The sequence below is a fragment of the Homo sapiens genome, chromosome 1 (genome assembly GCF_000001405.40).
Source record: "Homo sapiens chromosome 1, GRCh38.p14 Primary Assembly".
Lineage (NCBI taxonomy): Eukaryota > Metazoa > Chordata > Mammalia > Primates > Hominidae > Homo > Homo sapiens.
The window spans coordinates 2,056,892-2,078,228 of NC_000001.11; the positions used below are offsets into that span (position 1 = coordinate 2,056,892).

Consider the following 21,337-nt stretch of genomic DNA (forward strand, 5'->3'; position numbering starts at 1 on the left):
CTAATTTTTTGTATTTTTTGTAGAGACGGGGTTTCACCGTGTTAGCCAGGATGGTCTCAGTCTCCTGACCTCGTGATCTGCCTGCCTCAGCCTCCCAAAGTGCTGGGATTACAGATGTGAGCCACCGCGCCCGGCCTTTTCTTTGACATTTTATTAACCCAAATGAAAACTGCTCTTAACAAAGAACCCGTAAACCACTCAGAGGCTCCAGTGGCCAGCGTAGGGCCCGCGGCGCATGTGGACAGAGGGGACAGCCCCACCAGCCACCTCACCTGCCCGGTGCTCCCTAGGCCCGGCTCCAGGCTCACAGCTGTCCTCAGCTTTAAGTTCAAAGCCCCATGATGAGCTGACGCATGGGAGATGTGATTGTGATCATTTCCACTTTGTCTTTAGGTGGGCGTGGGCTCCTCCCCGGTACTGCTGGGGGTCTGCAGGGCGTCTGGGGCCTGGGAATGTGGTTCCAGCGCTGTGGCCAGCCGGTCACGTCTTTGTCTCTGTGTCCACTTCTGGCGTAGCTTGGGCTCCTTGCCAGGCGTCTGGCCATGGACGATTGAGTCCAAGATGGGACCAAAGCTCGAAACCACCCATGGATTTCTGACAGATCCATCATTCTCCTGGACACCGGGCTACCTGGTTACAACACTTAATTTTCTTCGCCCTTTATATCAATGAGGCTCTAAATTTAAAGACTAGGCCGGGTGCGGTGGCTCACAACTGTAATCCCAGCACTTTGGGAGGTCAAGGTGGGAGGATCGCTTCAGCCTAGGAGTTCAAGACCAACCTGGGCAACATAGTGAGACCCCCCCCTCTCCAAAACTTGTTTTATTTTTTTGAGACAGAGTCTGGCTCTGTCCCCAGGCTGGAGTGCAGTGGCACTATCTCTGTTCACTGCAACCTCCACCTCCCAGATATAAGCGATTGTCCTGCCTCAGCCTCCCGAGTAGCTGGGACTACAGGCATGTGCCACCACACTTGGCTAATTTTTTTTTTTTTTTAGTTGGAGTCTCGCTCTGTCGCCCAGGCTGGAGTGCAGTGACGCGATCTCAGCTCAATGCAACCTCCGCCTCCCGGGTTCAAGCAATTCTTCTGCCTCACCCTCCCAAGTAGCTGGGACTACAGGCATGTGTCATCACGCCTGGCTAATGTTTTGTATTTTTAGTAGAGACGGAGTTTCACCATGTTAGCCAAGATGGTCTCGATCTCCTGACCTCGTGATCCACCCGCCTCAGCCTCCCAAAGTGCTGGGATTACAGGCGTGAGCCACGGTGCCCGGCCTAATTTTTGTATTTTTAGTAGAGATGGGGTCTCGCCATGTTGGCCAGGCTGTTCTCAAACTCCTGACCTTAGGTGATCTGCCTGCCTCAGCTTCCTGAAGTGTTGGGATTACAGGCGTGAGCCACGGTGCCCGGCCCCAATTTTTTTTTTTTTTTTTTTTTTTGATATTCAGACGTGGTGGTGCACCTGTAGTCCCAGTTACTCGGGAGGCTGAGGTGGGAGGATTCCTTGAGCACAGGAGGTAGAGGCTACAGTGAACTGTGATTATTCCACTGCACTCTAGCCTGAGTGATGGGGCGAAACCCTGTGTCAGATAAATAAATTCATAGATGTGCCTAATCTAGTCCTTTTTATTGTGGTTGTGATAGTAAGCACATTTTGCCTCTCTATGTGGAAAGATACAGTGGCTTAAAAATTCACATTGTTTTCTAGATAAAAGAAAAATAGGGCTGGGTTCAGTGGCACACACTTGTAATCCCAGCACTTTGGGAGGCCGAGGCAGGTGGATCACTTGAGGTCAGGAGTTCAAGACCAGCCTGACCAACATGGTGAAACCCCATCTCTACTATAAATACAAAAATTAGCCGGGCGTGGTGGTGTACACTTGTAATCCCAGCTACTTGGGAGGCTGAGGCAGGAGAACTGCTGGAACCCGAGAGGTGGAGGTTGCAGTGAGCTGAGATTGTGCCACTGAGCTCCAGCCTGGGCACAGAGTGAGACTCCATCTGAAAAAAACCAACAAAAAACAAAAAATGTTTGTTTTTTTAAAGTTTCAATACTTTTATGTGTATACACACACACATAAAAAAGTAGAGATGGGGTTTCGTCATGTTGGCCAGGCTGGTCTTGAACTCCTGGCCTGAAGCCATCCTCTCATCTCGGCCTCCCAAAGTGCTGGGATTGCAGGCGTGAGCCATCATGTCCAGCCAAGTTTTAATACTTTCTAAGCACCTATTTTAATAATTTATTGTGGAAGCCCAGGATATATGTTAAAATAATTTTGAACTCTGTCTTGAGTATGAAGAAGTGGAATCTAAAGTGCTTTTAAAAGTCAGTGTTCAAAGTAATTGCATTTCTTTCCCATTTTTATATAGTTTAAAAATACAAATCAGTAGCTTCCTCTGATGGCTTTGCTGTCCAGGTCCCTCTGATTGCCTTTTACTCTAAGTTTTTCCGTGGGTTTTAAAGTCGGAGCCTGGCCTACGTAGACGCACGGGGTTTTGCGTCTCCCAGGAGCGGGCTCTCATTGGCAGTGCCACGTGCGCCTTGCGTGAAGTCCACGTGCTCAGCCTGACTGAGGCGGGACTTCCTCCGTGAGACTGTTGAGTGGCAGCCGCAGGGTCTTGACGCTGTCTCTTTCTCTCTCTTGTCCAGTTTTCCCGAGCACCCCTGAGCAGCCTGGCCTGCCATGTCCGGGAGAAGACAGTGAGTACTGGGGTTTCCTACGCCGGTCTCGCATGTTACGGGGTTGAACTGTTGATCCGTTGTGCCACGGAGGTGGCAGTGGTGCCGTTTTCGGAGGTTCACCCTCGTGGAGCGTCAGGGCAGGAGCAGCCGTGGTGACCGCAGGTGGGGTTTTCACTGCAGCTGCTGCCTGTGCGTGTTCTGGCTGACAGCACCACATGGCGGGGGACTCGCTTGGCTGGTTGGTAGCATGAGAAGTCCAGGGGTGCCCTGCCGTCTCCCTAGGAGGGAGGGGCCAGGTGGGAGGCTGGACACTGCTCCTTTGTGGCTGCCTCAGCTCACGACCACCCCTAGGCCAGTCGTCTGCTCCTCCTGGTCCCTGCTGGCCCCTGAGCTGGTGTGGGGGCTCCGTTCATCCCACACTGGCTCCATTGTTGGGAGAGGAAGGAGAGTGAGTCCCGGGGGCTGTGGCTTCAGAGGGAAGCTTCTGACCTCACTTCCTACTGCATCCCGGAGACTGTTGGGCCCTGAGCAGGTGGCTACGCTGCTCTCGGGCCGCGCATCCCATGGCTGTGCTTGGTGGGGTTCCACCCCCACTCTCCAGACCCCACACGGCCTCCAGCATCCGTGCCATGCCTTGTTCGTTGTGTGGGCAGGAGCTCCTGGACCGAGGCCGCTGCCTGTCCAGCGCAGGGCACGTGGCTCAGTGCCCTTCAGGCAGGGCTTCCCCCACCCCTGCTGCCAGGGCACACACCTCGCTGGCCTCAGGCTGGATGCTGGGTGTTGGCAGTGCCCTGTGTTGGGCGGGAACTGGGGGTGGGAGCAGATTCAGGCCAAGAGGGTGAGTGGGCAGTTGGGGCGAGAGTCTTGGCTTCCAGTGAGAAGTGGGGCTGAATAGAGGTTTGGCAGTGCTTAGCATAGGGGGCGAGAGTCTCGGCTTCCAGCGAGAAGTGGGGCTGAATAGAGGTTTGGCAGCGCTTAGCGTAGGGGAGGCCCCAGGAGCCATGGGATTTCCATGATCTGCCCGGGGAGAGGGCGGCGTGGCATCCCGGTTCCAGGCCCTCAGCCAACCGGGGTCCCTGCACCGTGGCCGGCAAGGCCGAGGAGCCATCCGGAGGTGGGCCCTGGCAGGAATGGAGCGGGTGGTCTGGGGCTGGACCTGCCGGCAGGAGGAGATGGGGTATGTCCGTGGCAGGCGGACACCACCAGGTGGTTTTGGCAGCGCAGGGCGAGTGTGAGGAGGCAGGGGGCGGGGAGGCTTTGGAGGCAGGTGGCCAGACGGTGGGCGTCAGGGCCCTGATCACCTACGCAGCTGCCCTGGTGGTGACCTTTCCCGGGACCCTCCCTCTGGGTGCCCACGCCTCACGGACCCTGGAGCACGCACCCTGGGAGGGCACGGTTCACTGCGTTTTTATAGATACATAAACACATAAATAGGACAGATACTCCCTGTGGGTGAGACGATGGTTGTCCCCTCCACAGCGCCCTGCAGCCTCATGCTGCTGCTTTATAGGAGGGGACCCACGGGCCGTGTTTATTTGCCACCTGGGTGATTTTTTGACTTGGTGACAGGACTGTGCTCCTCTGTCCCATGTGTGCTGAGACTGTGCACTCCCAGAGGTATCCACATGCGGCCAGTGTAGCCCCTGGGCGCGGGGGAAGCCCACCGTATTTCTCCGACATGTCTGCCTCTTGTCTCAACCCTGCCTGGGGGCCTGGGGTCTGCTCTTTCTGTCTACGACCTCGGCATTGCCTCTCTGCCCGTGTGGACAACCTGCCGGCCTTGCGTAGGGAAGGGAGGCCCGCATTTGCTCGGCCACTGCAGTGGAGGAAGGGGAGGTTGGGGGGTCACAGGATGTCCAGAGGCCTGAGCTCTGAAGGGGAGTGTGTCATGGGGGTGGCAGCCGAGTCACCGTGGGGAATGCGGAGAATGTGGCCAAGCCCCGAGGAAGGACCTCCTGGGACACGTGAGTAGGTCCTTGAGATGTTTACCAGGGGTGGCTCCACGGCTTCGGGGACCACTCAGCCTGGTTGGGGACATTCCGCCAGAGCCTCTGGGGCAGCCTTTGCCGAGGAGGTCAGAGGCGGGTGCTGGGGGTGGGGAGCCCTGCCCTGCCCTGTGTGCTGATGTCCACCCGGACGTGGGTTGGGTTTCATGGCGCTAGTGTCAGGAGTGTGTGAGAACACACTGCCCACTCGGGGTCCCAGGCCACCAGGGCTTAGGGGGCTGGCGCTCTCCCTGATGTCCTGTGCTTTCTTTCACTCTGACTGTGGTGCTCATCTCAGACAGGACACCCTGCTCTGGTTGCCAGTGGCCGCCGCCTGGGGCTCTGTGGTTTTAGCGCCTGTGGGGGTGTTCACAGGTGTTTTTGACCTCAGGCAGCACTGCCCAGGCTGAGGGTCAGTGAGAAGGGTCGGACTGGGAGGTGTGTACAGTGGATGGAGCACGCCAGAGGCAGACGAGGGCAGGACTGCGGCTGTACCGTGGGCCTGGTTCAGACGGCTGGACGTGCCTGTCTCACCGTCAGCAGAGGACCTTCTGGCACATTCTATGTGTGTCTATATGAGTGAATTGGTTTTATAGATTTTTAAAAAAATTCTAAAGTATACTTACAACTATCATCTCTATGTAGTTACAAACCCAAAATATATTCAAAAAGGGAACCCCGTGCCCGTCATCGGTCACTCCCTGTTCTGCCCCAGCCCCACCTCCGCTCAGCCTCTGTCTCTGTGGCCCTGCGGATTCTGGACGTTTGGTGTCCGTGGAATCCTGCATGTTTGTCCTTTTGCCTCTAGTGGCTTTCACCCGCCTGACCTTTCCAAGGTTCATCCATGATGGGGCATTCTTGGCGCTGCAGATCTTTTTTCTATTCTGGTAAAATGCACATAACATCTATTTTTGCCATCTTAACTTTTTTTTTTTTTTTTTTGGCAGAGGGGGGACGGAGTTTTGTTCTGTCACCCAGGCTGGAGTGCATGGTACAATCTTGGCTTACTACTACTCTGCCTCTCAGGCTCAAGCGGTCCTCATGCCTCAGCCTCCCGAGTAGCTGGGATTACAGGTGTGTGTCACCACACTTGGCCGAGTTTTTCTTTTTGTAGAGTTGGGGTTTTACCATGTTGCCCAGGCTAGTCTCGAACTCCTGGGCTCAAGTGACCTACCCATCTTGGCCTCCCAAAGTGCTGGGATTATAGATGTGAGCCACCGAGCCTGTCCCCATCTTAGCCATTAAAATTTAAAGGTTCAATTCACTGGTATTCGATATTCGCATTGCTGTCCAGTCATCATCACCGCCCATCTCCAGAACTCTCTTCATCTTCCCAGACTCAGCCTCTGTCTCCATGAAACACTCACTCCCCATTCTGCCTCCCCCAGCCCCCATCACCCACCCGCCGCTTTCTGTTTCTGTGACTTTGGTGACTCTAGGGGCCTCCTGTGAGTGGAATCGCACAGGATCTGTCCTTTTGTGACAGCTTATTTCACTCAGCACCATGTCCTCAAGGCGCAGCCATGCGTAGCCTGTGTCACAGTCTCCTTCCTTCTCAAGACTGAACCGCAGGCTGCTGTATGGATGTATTTTGTTTACCCATTTCTGTCAGTGGACACACGGGTGACTTCCACAGTTTAGCTGTCGTGAATGATGCTGCTGTGAGCACGGGTGCACAGTGACCTCTGGAGACCCTGCCTTCAGTTCTGGGTGTAGACCCGGAAGTGAGATTGCTGGATCATTGATCATTCTATTTTTATTCATTTATTTTTGAGATAGCGTCTCGCTCTGTCGCTTAGGCTGGAGTTCAGTGGCACGATCTCGGCTCACTGCAGCCTCCATCTCCTGGGCTCAAGCGATTCTCCTGTCTCAGCCTCCCAAGTAGCTGGGACTAAAGGCATGTGCCACCACGCCCAGCTAATTTTTGTACTTTTTGTAGAGACAGGGTTTCATCATGTTGCCCAGACTGGTCTTGAACTCCTGGGCTCAAGCAGTCTGCCCACCTCGGTCTCCCAAAGTGTTGGGATTACAGGCGTGAGCCACTGCACCTGGCCGATAATTCTGTTTAAAGAGCCGCCGTGCCATTTCCCATGGTGCCTGCAGCATTTTCCACCCCCTGCAATAGTGCACGAGCGCCACTGTCTCCGCATCCTTTCCAGCTCTTGTCGTTTTCTGTTTTTTGACAGTATCTTATGGGCGTGAGGTGGCATATCATTGTGGTTTTGGTTCTCATTTCCCTGGTGATAAGTGATGTTGAGCATTTTTTCATGTGCCTGTTGGCCATTTCTTTTTTTTTTTTTTTTTTGAGTTGGAGTCTTGGTCTGTTGCCCAGGTTGGAGTGCAGTGGCACGATCATGGCTCACTGCAATCTCCGCCTCCCAGATTCAAATGATTCTCCTGTCTCAGCCTCCTGAGTAGCTGGGATTACAGGCACCCGCCACCATGTCCAGCTAGTTTTTGTATTTTTAGTAGAGTTGGGGGTTTCACCATCTTGGCCAGGTTAGTCTTGAACTCCCGACCTCAAGTGATCCACCCACCTCGGCCTCCCAAAATGCTGGGATTATAGGCGTGAGCTGCCGTGCCCGGCTTTGTTGGCCATTTCTGTGTCTTCTTTGGTGAAATGTCTTTTCGCGTCCTGTGTCCATTTTTGAATGGGTTGTTTGGTTTTTTTGTTGGTGAGTGTTACTAGTTCTCTGTCCTGGATGTTAATCCCGTAGCAGATATATGATTAGCAAATATCTTCTCCTGCTTTGTGGGTTGTTTTTTTACTTTGTTGATAGTGCCTTTTGATGGACAAAGTTTTAAAATTTTCCTGAAATCCTGCTTAATGTTTTTTTCTTTTGTTGCCTGTGTATTTGGTGTCACATCCAAGAAATCACTGCCAAATCGAATGTTGTGAAGCTTTTCCCCTTCTCTTTCATCTAAGGATTTTATAATTTTAGGTTTTATGTTTAGGTCATGGATTATCCTGAGTTAATTTTTGTATGTGGTGTAAGGTAAGCATCTAACTTCATTCCTTTGCATGTGGAGGTCCAGTTTTCTTAGCACCATTGGTGAAAAGACTCCCCATTGGACTGCATTGGCACCCTTGTTGAAAATCGTTTCACCATATATGGGAGGGTTCATTTGTGGAGTCTCTTCTAGTCCATTGGTCTCTGTGTCTCTCTTTGAGCCAGTGCCACACTGTTTTGATCACTGTAGCTTTGTAGGAAGTTTTGAAATCAGGAAGTGTGAGCCCTCCAGCTTTGTTCTTCCTTTTCAAGATTGTTTTGGGGTCCCCTGAGATTCCAGATGAATTTTAGGACAGGCTTTTCTATTTCTGCAAAAAACATTATTGTGATTTTTGCAGGGATTGCATTGGCTCTGTAGATCACTTTGGGTAGTGCTGACATCTTAACAGTATGAAGACTTCCAATCCATGAACTGAAGTGTGTTTCTGTTTGTTTATGTTTTCTTTGATTTCTTTCAGCAGTGTTTTACAGTTTTCCTTGTACAAGTCTTTCACCCCCTTGGTTAATTCCTAAACGTTTTATTCTTTTTGATGCTGTTGCAAGTGGAATTGTTTCCTTGATTTCCCTTTTGCGTTGTTTATTGTAAGTGTATAAAAGTGCAGTTGATTTTTGTGTGTTGACTTTTTTGCCTGCTGTTTTGCTGAATTTATCAGTTCTAACAACTTTCTGTGGAAACTTTAGGGCTTTCTTACATGTAAGATCATATCATCTGTATACAGAGATAATTTTACTTTTTCCTTCCTAATTTGGATGCCTTGTATTTCTTTTTCTTGCCTAATTGTTCTGGCTAGAATTCCACTACTCTGTTGAATAAAAGTGGTGTGATCGGCCGGGCGCGGTGGCTCACGCCTGTAATCCCAGCACTTTGGGAGGCCCAGGCGGGTGGATCACGAGGTCAGGAGATCGAGATCGTCCTGGTTAACACAGTGAAACCCCGTTCTCTACTAAAAATACAAAAAATTATCCGGGCGTGGTTGCAGGCGCCTGTAGTCCCAGCTACTCGGGAGGCTGAGCCAGGAGAATAGCCTGAACCCGGGAGGCAGAGCTTGCAGTGAGCGGAGATCGTGCCACTGCACTCCTGCCTGGGCAACAGAGCCAGACTCTGTCTCAAAAAAAAAAAAAAAAAAAAAAAAGTGGTGTGGTCAATCATCCCTGCCTTTGTCCTGATTGTCAAAGAAAAGCTTTCAGGTTTTCATCACTGAGTGTGATGTCTGCTGTGGGTTTTTCATACATGGTTTTTATTATGTCGAGATAGTTTCCTTCTATTCCAAGTTTGTCAATTGTTTTTATCAGGAAAGGGCTTTGAATTTTGTCACATGCTTCTTCTGCATCAGTTGAGACGATCATGTGTTTTTTTTACCTTCATTTTGTTAATGTGGTATATTACTTTAATTTTCATTCATTGAACCATCCTTGCATCCCATGAAAAAATCCTTCTTGCTCTTGGTGTGTAATTTTCTTGATATGCTGCCGAATTCATTTTACTAGTATTTTCTTGAGGATTTTTACATCCGTGTTTATAAAGGACAATTACATCTGTGTTAATAAAGGATAATTATGTCCATGTTCTTAAGACTCAATGGTCAGAGGCTTTCTTGTCGTGACTTTGTTGGGCTTTGGTGTCAGAGTAGTGCTGGCCTCACAGGATGAGTGAGGAAGTGTTCCTTCCTCTTTAATTTTTTTGGAAAAGTTTGAGAAAAACTGGTGTTAGTTCTTCAAGTGTTTGGTAGAATTTGCCTGTGAAGACATCAGTCCCTGGGCTTTGCTTTGTTGGGAGGTTCTCTTTCTTTCTCTCTCTCTCTGTCTGTCTCTCTGATGGAGAGAGTGCAGTGGCTCGATCTCAGCTCATGTCAACCTCTGCCTCCTGGGTTCAAGTGATTCTCCTGCCTCAGCCTCCTGAGTAGCTGGCATTACAGGCACATGCCATCACACCCAGCTGATTTTTGTAATTTTAGTAGAGATGTGGTTTCACATGTTGGCCAGGCTGGTCCCGAACTCCTGACCTCAGATGATCCACCCACCTTGGCTTCCCAACGTGTAGGGATTTCGGGCATGAGCTGCTGCGCCCGGCCCTGCTCTCATCTTTATTATTCCCATCCTTCTGCCAGCTTTTGGTTTGTTCTTTTTCTGGTTCCTTGAAGTGTAAAATTCGGTTGTTAATTTGAGATCTTTCTTGTTTTTTTATTTCAAATATTTATCACCATAGCCAGGCGCCATGGCTCATGCTTGTAATCTCAGTGTTTTGGGAGGCTGAAGAGGGAGGATCACTTGAGGCCAGGAGTTGGAGACCAGCCTTGGGCCACATGACAAAACTGTGTTTCACACACACAAAAAGTTCATCACTATAAATTTTCTCCTTAGCATTGCTTTCCCTGCATCCCTGAAATGTTGATATGTTGTGTTTCTGTTTTCATTCATCTCTCAGCATTTTTCTGATTTTCTTTGTGGTTTCATCTTCTATCCATTGGTTGAGTGTGTAGTGTTATTTCCATATATTTGCGAATTCTTCTGTTTTCTTTCTGTTAACTGATTTCTAAGTTCATCTTGATGTGGTTGGAGAATATACTTTGGATAATGTCTGTTTTTTGAAATCTACCGCGGCTGAGTCTGTGGCTCACTTGTGTTCTGTTCTGGAAAACGTCCCGTGTGCGTTGAGGGTGTGCAGCCGCTGTGGGTACAGCGCTCTGCTGTGTCTGTCAGAGCTATGCGGGTTACTGTGTTGTTCAAGTTCTCTGTTTCTTTACGTGTTCTCCCTAGTTGCTTTTTCATTCCTTTTTATGGCTGGATGAATTCTGTGATGCGATTCACCCTGTCTGTCCGTTCCTCTGCTGATGGACACTGGTGGGGGCTGGGTCGTTCGGGGCTGAGCGTGTGATGAGATCAGGAGCGCCTGGTTTTTTGGGGGAGGTGAGGGCTGGTCACGCCCCGGTCGAGTGGGGATCCCCTGTGTGCATCTGTGGCGGCCTCAGTGGTGTTGGGGTGGAGTAATCGGGCGGTGGAGCTGGGGTCTGTGGGCTCCACCTGCTGCCACGTGTGCCGGGCTGCCCAGGGCCCATGAGGGTGGTGGCACGGGGGTCCGCATGAGGGGCCGCAGGTGCCTCGGGCCCCTCTCCCGCTTGTTTCTCCATCTTCACTGTCCGTTCACTGCAGTGCCGGGTGAGGCCAGTGTGTGGCCGGTAGATTCCCGGGTACCTCTTCTTTGCCCCTCCTTGCTGTATCTGGTCACACAGAAATGGTATGTGTGATTTTTGTTTCAATACTCAAATCTGTTAATATTTTTCCTTCTGGCTTCCCCTAGTGATACAAATATATTTTCTTCCATTTTGGTCTTTGAGCTGCTTTGCCTGTCTGTGTCTGGGGTGGCATCCGCTGGCACCTGGGCTGACCTGGGACGGGGCCCTTCTCTTGGACTTGAGCAGATGAGACTCACAGCCCGAAATGCAGCAGATCCCTCAGGCCACGGGACTCTGGACGTGTGGCGGCCCTGTCGGCCTGAGCCACATCTGCTGTGAGAGGCAGCAGTACGTTCCTTGGGGCAGCAGCGAGAGCAAGGCTGGATCCAAAGACCTCCGAGCAGCTCCTCCGGGGCAGACCCCAGCTGCAAGCCACAGCCCGGCCCTGGTAACGGGAGAGCATCGCTAGGGAGGGGTGGGGCGGCCCGGCTTCGATGCGGCCATGTGGGAGGGCCACTCTCAGAGACCCCCCGCCTTCCTTGCCACCCCCACCCCAGAGGGGAAGCTGGAGCTGGGAGGCTGCAGACCCAGGCCAAGGTGTGGCCAGGGCTGGCTTTCTTGGGAGGCTTTGAGCATCCTGCTTCCTGGCCACCCAGCTCTGGGGCTGCTGTCAACTCTTGATTTGTAGACATCACTCCAGCCTCTGGCCTGTCACCCTGAACCTCCCCCATGTCTGTGTCTTTTCTCACTGGAACACCGGTGGTCGGCTTTGGGGCCCACCAGGGCAGTCCAGGACATTCACCTTGAGACCTGGCCTTAATCACACGTGCAGGAACCCTTTTCCAAAGGAGGGTCACGCTCACAGCTTCTGGAGTAGGACATGGACTTGTCTTTTTGGAGGCCCATCCTCAACGCACCACAGTTGACTACATCAAGGTCTGCCTCTGATCTGGTGGGAGTGCTGGGTGGTCTGTCTCCACCAGCACTTTGTGGGTGGGCTCTGTCCCCAGGAAATGCTCTCTGCCCAGGCCCCCGCCCCGTGAGAGGTTCGTGCTGCCAGTGGCGCTGGTCATTGGGACCATGTGCTGGGCCGGCGCCTGGCAGGACAGACAGCAGGTGGCTCTTCTGTAGGTTCTTCTGGCTGGGACAGGCCCAGCCGGTGCTCAGCGGAACTGAGACTGACGCCCCTTTCGGACCCCTCTAAGAAGGGAGGCCTGGGTGGGCAGCCTCCCCTCAGAGTTGGGGAAACGTGGCCCAGTTCCCGCCAGTCACCACCCTGCCGGCTGCCACGGGGACACGTGGCCTGGTTCCTGCTGGTCACCACCCCGCCAGCCACATCTTGAACGGCGTCCGTTCTGCAGTCGCTTGTCCTTAGTGTTCCAGCAACACCCCAACCAATGCGACCCCCGGCACCTCCGTCAGCCCCGCCCGGGAGAGCCCTCCCCTGCATCCGTGCTGTGCTTGTTGAAACTGAGATCCTCTAGCCTTTGGCCTCTCCGGACCCAGCCCCAGCTGCAGGCCCCAGCCATGGTGGTCCCTTTGGGAGGCGTGGTCCAGGAGGTGATGGGCAGCTGGAGAACCCCCGTGAGTGGAGGCTGCTGTACCTGGCAGGGAGGGTCCTGGGCAAGGGGGCATGGAGTGGAAAGGGAGTGGGTGTCCAGAAAGTTCCTGGGGCTCCACCAACCAGAACGTTGCCATTACCTTGAGCAAACGACCTGTTTAGTGGTGCCTTTTCTTTACCTGTAAAACGGGGTGATTGTAAATAAAATCGTGTGTAAAAGTGCTTAGGACCAGACCCCCATTGGAGCGAGTGTTGATACCTGTCTCAAAGGACAGTAGGTGGACGTGGCAGGGAGGGAGATGTCAAGACGACAGCCAGGGCCCTTTCTGCCACTTCCCCTGGTGGGTGGTGGGCGGTCCCCTGAACCCTGGCAGTAAGCGAGGGACCTCCCGACACCCTGGCTCCTCCGTGTTGGCTCCAGGGGCTTCCTGTTTCTAGATGGCCGGGCCCATCATGTGGAGGGAGGGGTGGATGCTATAGGCAGCAGCCCCAGTCTTCCTTTGGGTGGGGTTATTTCTGCTGCTGCTGCAATCCAGAGGCTCTGGGGCTCCTAAGTGGGTAGCCTCAGGCCTGGGCAGCGTCCATGGGACAGGGTGGTCCCCAGTCAGGCCCCATTGGCCTCCCTGTGGTGTGTGGTAAAGACTCAGGGTGCCCGCCCTGTGGAGGAGGTGCCGGGGGTAGCCTGGCTTTGCACCCAGACCCTGCTGAGGGCAGCGCTGGATGGTCAGCTGGACCAGGCCTCCGAGGTCCTTAGAGTCCATGGAGGAAATACAAAGTCCGCTGGGCTGGGCAGCCGCAGACCCCACTTAGCAGCTGGTGGTGTCCTCGGGGTCATCAGAGCCAGTGCTGGCTGCCCTGTGCATTTCATGTTGTTGGTTCCTGCCTGTCCACAGCACAGATGGCATACCCGGGCAGCGGGACCCTGCTCCAGCCTGCACCCTGGGGAAAGGTGTCCTACATTCCACATTCTGCCCGTAGCAGGCAGCCCCACCCCACTGTAGCCCATCTTGTCACTTAGGGTGGTCCCGGTAGTGGCTTCTGGAGCCTGGAACGCTTGGGTCAGGCCCCAGGCAGCTGGGACCCTCCCGAGCCTCACCCCTTGGGTCTGGTGGGACCCCTGGGGTTTGGCCGGGAGGACACCGTGACTACTGCCTTTGCCTCTGGGTATATTCCCTGCTCAGCCCCTGAACCCAGCTCCAAGGCCATTTCTACTTGGCAAGCGGGAGGTTTTCATGGCCAGGGATGTTAATAGCAGGTCTCTGGATGCAAGGGTGGCAAAGTCGCCTTGGCCTGTGTAGGGGAAGTGGAGGAACCTGGGCTCTCCCGGGCCGGTGGTCCTGGGGCAGATAGCAGGGGAAGGGGCTGCAGCCATGTGGGTGGAGCCATGGGGGCCGTGGAGGGGCCCTTCCTGACCCCACAGTGGGGGCCAGGGTGGGGCTGGCGGGGGACAGTCCTCAGCTGCAGGGGCTGGGGTGGGGCTGGCGGGGGACAGTCCTCGGCTGCGGGGGCCGGGGTGGGCCAGGAAGGGGAAGGGGCTCTTGAGGCTCCGGGGCCTTCTGGCTGTAGTGTCTCACTTGGAGCAATGGCGGGATCCCCAGATCCATCCCCTGGCCCGTCTGCCTCCCGCCCTCATAGCCCTGTAGCCTAGGGCAGAGAGGGGTCCTTGGCCGGGACACCATCCCCACAGGGACGTGGAGGGTGCTGGGCCCGGGGCTACCATGGAGTCGCCTGCTGGGAGCAGCCAGTACACCTGGGCGTGCGACCTGGGCAATGCGGGGGCCGATTGCTCAGGGGGGCGCCTGCACTGCCAGGTTCAAACCCCACCGGCAGGGAGCCTGCGCTGTGACTTCAGGCATGTGGGTGGGGCTCCCCGTGCCCCGTGCCTCAGTTTCCTCCTCTGTAAAAGGGGGCTTTGTGAGGCTCGACAGGGTTTAGAGGAGCTCCTGGAACATAGTAAGTGCTTAGCAAGGCCGTCTTGCCGTCTCTCCCACCCAGGGAGGGTCAAGTGGGAAGAGAGCGGCCCCACCGAGTGTGTTCCAGGCCCCGGCGGCGTCTGAGAGGAGGCGGCCAAACCTAGTGGGGCTGCGCGACCGCCTGTGGAACAGTGGGGACGCTGCTGGTGTCCTCCAGGCCTGGGTGGGCGGGTTACCACGGAAGCCTATCAACGGATGCCTGTGATTCCCTGGTATTTATAGGTATGTCTATTGTTTTATTAAAAAATCCAGTTTCATTCAGCTTTGTCTCAAATTATTTGCAACAAACTGGAAAAGCTAGTTTTCCCCCTAAAATAGGCTTCTAATAAAATTGGCAATTTGCCTGCTGAGCCTGAATATCCTAGAGTTCTGCAAAGCTGGATATTTTGGGATGGATTAGAAGAGAGGAGTTGGCTGAAGGACAGTGGTCGTGCTGCTGAGCCGGCCGTCTGTGTGAAGTTTACACTGGACCAGGATAAATGCGTATTTCCTGTGGGAGCTCAGCGTGGCCATGGTATTCGGTGGTCTTATGATTTTATAGGCCTAGCCAGGGGTCTGCGAGCTGCTTCTGTCCAGGGCCAGGTAGTTGAAGCCTGGGGTTCTGAGCAGGCGTGGGCAGCACCCAAGGAGGTGCATGGCCGTGTCCTAGTGAAACTTTATGCACGCTGAAATCTGAATTTTATAGACTCTTCCGGTGTTTCAAAATATTATCCTTTTCATTTTATTCAGCCAATTAAAAGCGTAGAAATCCTAGCTTGCTGATTTGGAGCACTAGGCAGTGTAGGTTGCCAGCCCTCGTTCCCCATAGATTTGGGAAGTCGAGTGAAACGCATGTGTTAGGTTTATATGTTTCACATTTTACGGAATGCCCCTCATGCAGCTGGTCAGCCGCCTGACGAGGGAAGCTTGGCCCTTTGGAGAAGTGGCCGTGCCTCGTGGTGAGCTGCTGACAGAGCTGGAATTTGAACCCGGGGCTCTGGCCCGGAGTCCACTCCGTGAATGCAGATAAACACAGGTTTATGAGCTTGATGATTTAAATGGAGGTTTTATTACTGTTCAGGCAGGTGTGGGAGGCCAGCCATCAGGAGATGATGCCGTTGAGAAGGTCGTTTATTACTCAGCTTCTGAGAGGAGACCTCCTCTTGCCTCGCGGGGCCATGCGGGCAAGCGCCGGGTGGGTTGGAGGCAGGGGGATGTGTGGGTGGGGCCTTTACTGTGGTTTCCATGGGAAAGGTGTGGGGAGCAGGCATTGGGTCGGCCAGGTGGAGTAACTTCAGCCAGGCTCTGGGGTGCAGGGGCTGTCCCTGTGACCTGGGGAGGCCCCTGGGGCGACTGGGGGCCCGTGTAGGAGGTGGGCCCAGGTGAGAGTTCTGGGTTGGTGGGTTTGCATTTGAAAGGTTCGCTGTGGGACAAGTCCTTTGCTGTCTCTAGGAATCGGTTGGCCTCTCGGGGCCGTCCCTCCAGGGTCAGCAGGGCCATAGGTGCTGGAGCATCGAGGGCACAGCACGTATGAATGCAGGGAGCGTGTGGTGTGACTGGTCAGAGCCAGAGGTCTGCAGGACACTCCCCTCTGTCCCTCTGCACCCCCAGTGCGAAGCGGCCCATGTAGGCTCAGCACGAGTGCCGAGTGCGTTTGGGGAAGTGGGCAGAATTCCCAGCTGAGCACCCCGCGACCCCCCATGTTTTTTATGATTGGAGGAAAATGCCAGGTCTCACTTGCCAGTGATGACCAGGTCCCAGGGTTTGTCAGGGTACCAGGGTAGGGGTTGGAGGGTCAGGCCACCCAGCGGCGGTGGCGGCTCTGGGTCTCCCTAGGAGCCCGGGCTGGCCACAGCCAGGCACAGCACAGCCCGTGAGGTCTGGTCTTGGGAATGCGGGTGTCTCCTGCCTTAGGCTGAGGGTGTGCGTTTCCAGGCCAGCCGGGACAGTTTTCAGCCTGGGGAAGCTTGGCCTTTCCTGTTCCTGCCCCCCAGTGCCCACCGTCCCCACACACACTGGTGGGGTTTGTGGGGTGGACACAACCACATCGCAAGGCCCCTATGCCTCCTCTCCTCCCGCTCCGTTCCTGGGCTGCGGGACAGTGCTCGGGGCCCTTGGCCATTGGTGTCGAGCCCATTCACAGCCTCTGGACGCAGGTCAGAGGTCACTCGCCACGGCCACAGCTGCGCTGTCCCCCACTCCCAGCCTGGCAGGCCAACCTGCAGGACCCCGGGCTTAGCTGGGTTCTGTTCTGATGTCGCATTTTCAAGGTCCGCTGAGTCCGAGCCCTGCCTGGGTCTGGCTGCTGCCCGCCCGCTCTCTGGACTGTGCTGATGCAGAGATGCTTGTTTTCCTGTGACGTCAGCGTCAGCTCCTGCACATCCATGCCGTGTTTTAGTTTGTGCCTCAGCTGCTGGCTACAGCTTCCCGGGGGAGCCGGGTACCACCCGGGCCTGGAGACATGAGGAGGCAGGGATGTGAGGGGCGGGGGACAGGACAGCCGGCCTTCCGTTAAATATCTGCTCCTCGCGCTCGAGCCTCCCTGCCTATTGTCGGGGCCGGAGGCGAGCCGACGCAGCATCAGCTCGTCAACGGGAAGGAAGATGCCTCCCTGCACGCCCGCCGCGCACAGAGCATAAAGAATCTGCGCTGAGGAGGCAGGAGAAGAAAGCCGGTGAGTCGGGGGCATCTCCCCCGTGGATTTTCCGCGCCCCCGGGGCCGGGCCAGCCGTGCTGCAGGCCCTGTGCGTGCGGAGGACGGTGCCCGAGTCAGCATTTTGGGTCTGAGTCCCGGCGTTGCCGCTGCCTGTGCGCTGCACAGATGCTCCGGGCAGCAACACGGCTGGTGCCACGGCCCGGGGAAGGCGTGCGGCTGCAGCAGCTCCCAGCAATGTCAGGGGAAACGCAGTGAGAGGCTGTTGTTTTGCGGGTGACAGATTTTTAGAAAAATAAGGCTGTGGAGGGACCTTCTGAGCGAGGCAGGGGCTGCTGGAGGGACATGCTCACCCCGAGGACGGATGGTGTGTGGCCCAGGCCTGGTGGATGTGTGGCGGTGGCTGTGGAGGGCTGGGGGCCGGGGGGCTTGGGGAAATCGTCTTGGGCTCGTCTGCCTGCCTGGCCCCAGGGAGTTGCTGGCTGTTGGGAGTTTCACTGTGGCCGATGCTTTTTGGTTGTGGGTCTGTGGGTCTGTCGGGGCCAGGACGGATGGCCGCTTCGTCTCCATTCTGCATTGCTGCAGGTGGGCAGATTGATGAGACCACGGGTGAAGTCTGGAGACCCCAGGTGCCAGGGCTGGTAGTGGTAACAGCCAGCACCTGTTCCAGGCCTGCGGTCTTTCCGTCTCGAGCCTGCCCTCCCGCCTGTCTGAGCCCCCGTTTTGCATTGACAGTGTTGGGTTGGAGTCTGGGTGGCACAGCCAGGGTTAATGTGCACGGCTCACTCCATCGGGGTCCTCGGATGGTGGCGAGGAGCGGGGCTGCGGCGTCCTGTTTTCTATTCTGAAATGGTTGGAGGTAGACTCGGAGGGGTCTGGGGGCTGCATGGTGTTTGGCAGGGATGTGGGAATGTGGGTGCTTTTCTGACGACCATTTTGCAAGGTGTTTTTTTTAAAAAAAAAAACAACAAAAAACCAAAACAACAACCAGCCTCCCCAGTCAGGCTTGTGGGGAGCCGTGGGCCTGGGGAGACTGGGCTGCTGAAGGTGGGGACTGGGCTGCTGGGGGAGGCGGCTTTCCCTCTCGGGGGGTGCTGGCTGCTGGGGAGGCTGGCAGCGCGCCCCTCCCCCAGGTGCGAAGGGACCTCAGCAGACGCAGGGCTGCTCCGCACAGCCAGCTTGGGCCGCAGGGGTCCTTGAGTGATGAAGATTCTGTGTTGATGGGGTGAGTGGGAGAGAGACGGAGCTGGGGTGGTTTTCACACGTGCGCCTGCCTGCGAGGAGAAACGTGCTGTGTCATAGTTTCCTCGGTGCCTGGGACGGCTTGGCCTCTGCTTTCGTGTGAGCCCACGCTGGCCATGCACAGCTGGCACGATCCCTTGCGGTGTGAATACACTGCTGGGGTGGGAGCGCCGTGGCCAGGGTCAGGATTCGAGCGGTTACTGGCTTTTGGTCTGATGGCCCTCGGTGGGTGAGTCAGAGCTGGGATGGGGACAGATTGGAGGGGCCACCGGCTGCCCCCCAGAAGCTGTTTCGTGTTGATGCTGCCGGGGCCGGCTGTGGTACCTGTGTCTGTGTCTCGGCCAGATCGGCACACATCTTCCGCGTTCCTGTCCCAGCTGCATCAGCCATCAGTGGGGGCCCTTCTCCGACCGTCTTCCTAGACTTCAGAGCCACTGGTGGTTATGTAAGGAGTTGTGTGTTCCTCTGCCCAACTCCGAGCTTGGTCCCACCTCCCAGACTCACCTCTGGGCTCCGGGCTCTGCTGCGATGTTTCCGAGGCTCCCAGTTAATCAGATCTGTCAGCCCAGTGTCCACAGGGTGCCTGAGAGCCCAGCCCATCCACACTGGGTGCCCCAGACCTTCCACGGGGTCTGGTGGGGACCTGCCAGGGCTGTCAATGGCCCCAGTGGAGAGGCCCACTGAGCATCCTGAGAAGTTCCCGTGCTTGTGACCTGCTCTCGTGTGTGTAGCAGCGGGGGCTGCGTCTCATCTGCCACACGTTTCTGATCGCCGAGGACTCAGCCGGGCACATGGAGGTTGAACTGTTGGGGGGCGGGAGGACCATCCATGGGGTCAGGCACCAACCTCTGCTGAGGATCCCAAAATGTGGGGTAGCCATCCTTTCTTGTGCTGGCGTGGAGCTTTTCCCAGGAGCTGGGCAGGGAGCTGTCACAGGGCCAGGCCCCTGAATGGGCTGTTTGGGGCCGGGGCTGAGGGGGTGCCCAGTGCCATCGAGGGGAAGCCTGTGGGAAAGTGTGATGACATCTGAAAAACCAGGAGCAGGTCCCTTGCTGTGCTGGTCGTGGTGCTCGAGTGTGGGCTCAGCAGGTCTGGTCTCCTGGCGCCCACTCACTCCCTGGCCATCTCCCCACCTCCCTCACATGGCAGGGGGAAGTGGAACGTGCGGCCACTGCTCCCACCGTCCCTCACAGCACAGGCTGGACAGGCACCCTGAGGCATCCCCATCTCCCAGCCCCTGGGGTTGGCATGATGCTGGGCCTCCAGAAATGTTTGTCATTTTATGCAAAGGGCAGAAAAAGCTTTGTTCAGGCCAGGCACAGTGGCTCACGCCTGTATTACCAGCACTTTGGGAGGCCGAGGTGGGGGATCACCTGAGGTCAGGAGTTCAAGACCAGCCTGGCCAACATGGAGAAACCCCGGCTCTACTAAAAATACAAAAATTAGCTGGGCGTGGTGGTGAGCGCCTGTAATCCCAGCCATTCAGGGGGCTGAGGCAGGAGAATCGCTTGAATCCGGGAGGCAGAGGTCACAGTGAGTCAAGATTGCGCCACCGCACTCCAGCCTGGGCAACAGAGCGAGACTCCATCTTGAAAAAAAAAAAAAAAGGAAAAGCTTTATTCAAAAGAAGCCACCTGAACCAGTCGGTCGTCCAGTGTTCAGCTTGTTTTTGGTCATAAAGTGGTGGCACTTGTCACTCATACAGGAGACGCTGTGGCAGAGCCCCTCCACGCATCGGGGCCCGGCAGCTCATTTCTAGGATTCTCCTGAACACGCGAAGGAGGGCACCCACCATGCTCGGGACTGGCTGCTTCTCTGTGAGGCCTCCAGGCAGAACCAGTGATTCCACCGTTGTGGGGCAGCCTTGGTGGGCCCACAGGTCTGTTGTTCCCCCTGAGAGAGGATCAGAGTCAGGAGAGGCGAGACACCAAGTTGACACGAACAGATCCCTGCTGCCGGTTGTTCTGGCGGTGCTGTGAGCACGTCTGACGGGTGTGAGGGTGCTGGGGCTTCGTTTCGTCCACGCTCACGTATCGGGCACACAGGAGAGTTTACACGCGCTCTGGTGGGTGGAAGGGGCCCTGACTTGATGTTATTTTGAAATAGGGGGTTTGAGTGTGTCTGGTCTTTCTGAAGTTTTCTTTTTGAACGTCTCTTCTGTGGGAAGTTTGAAAAGATTCAACCGACTGCAAGACGGAGCCGCCCTGTGTCTGTTGGGGCTGTGGGGACCCAGGTGCACTGGCAGCTCAGCCGCATCGTGGGCCCAGATGGCTTCTTCTGTTTGTTCCTCAGCGAACCTTGATTGTTGAAAGAATCCCGTGAGGCTGTGTCAAGTGTAGACAGGCCAGGCCTGGTGTCTTGTCCTGGTCAGGAAATTGTGTTGTTGCCCTTGTTAAATGGTTGTGTATAAAGTTTGCATTGTACATTATATTTAAAATTTTATTTTGAGTTTTCCATATTTTCTATTGTAAGGTGTTGATAGTTCTGTGGGACTCACAAAGAGAGAACAGGTGTCCCTGGTCCTCCCTGCTGCCCCAGCTCCACTCCCTGGAGGGGATCACAGCAGTTTCTTTTTGACATTTATTTCCAGATTTCTAAATGACACATTTCTGCTGCTATTTCTAGTCGTTTCCATTTAGGATGTTACTTCCCTACTTTCTCTGGGACACATCAGCTCATCTCTTCCTTCCTTGTTCCATCCTCCTGATGGAGTTATGTCACTGTTTATTGTTTTTAATCATTGAGTGTTTACCTAATTGCGGGTGACGTGAATATGCATGAGCTACCATGATTGCATTCCCTTGTTGGCACAACTTTTGGGTTTCCTTGGAGTTAATACATTGTGATTGTTTAAATCAGTTTCCTAGATGTCTTGTCTCAAATTTACTCCAGTTTCCTCTTCCCAGAAGAGGGGCAGCTCCCACCGATGCCTGCCTCACCTCCCTCCTGGTGCACCTGGCCCCCCACACAACATGCCGTGGGGCTTCCCTGTGCCCCGAGCTGGGAACAGTCCCCTCCTCTCTCCTCTGCCTACAGTCTTGATCTCTGGCTCCCTCTCTTCCTCTTTCTTGGCTTAAT

The 21,337-nt window shown here is 55.1% G+C and overlaps 1 protein-coding gene across 22 annotated transcripts in view, besides 1 other annotated feature; it reads left to right on the forward strand.

Annotated features, from left to right (window-relative positions):
* Nucleotides 1-21,337, forward strand: part of PRKCZ (protein kinase C zeta) — a 136,892-nt gene that overhangs the window by 8,388 nt on the left and 107,167 nt on the right. For 11 of the 22 annotated variants that reach the window (XR_007061965.1, XR_007061966.1, XM_047425255.1 and 8 more), the window contains exon 4: nt 2,650-2,700. Coding sequence is in view for 12 of the 22 variants with exons in the window: in XM_047425255.1 (XP_047281211.1) it covers nt 2,650-2,700 (51 nt within the window). In the remaining 10 variants the exon portion in view is untranslated. Of the gene's footprint in view, nt 1-2,649; nt 2,701-16,772; nt 17,039-17,179; nt 17,385-17,741; nt 17,877-21,337 lie in introns of those variants that run through there. The other 11 variants (NR_146911.2, NM_001350804.2, NM_001350806.2 and 8 more) reach the window with 3 other exon arrangements.
* Nucleotides 6,338-6,507: an enhancer, noted in NCBI's record as "experimental_1556 CRE fragment used in MPRA reporter constructs". NCBI's record gives its function as "activates a minimal promoter by MPRAs in K562 erythroleukemia cells, with activity observed for both the introgressed and non-introgressed 1:1994753 variant alleles {active_cell/tissue: K562}" and the evidence as "EXISTENCE:reporter gene assay evidence [ECO:0000049][PMID:34662402]".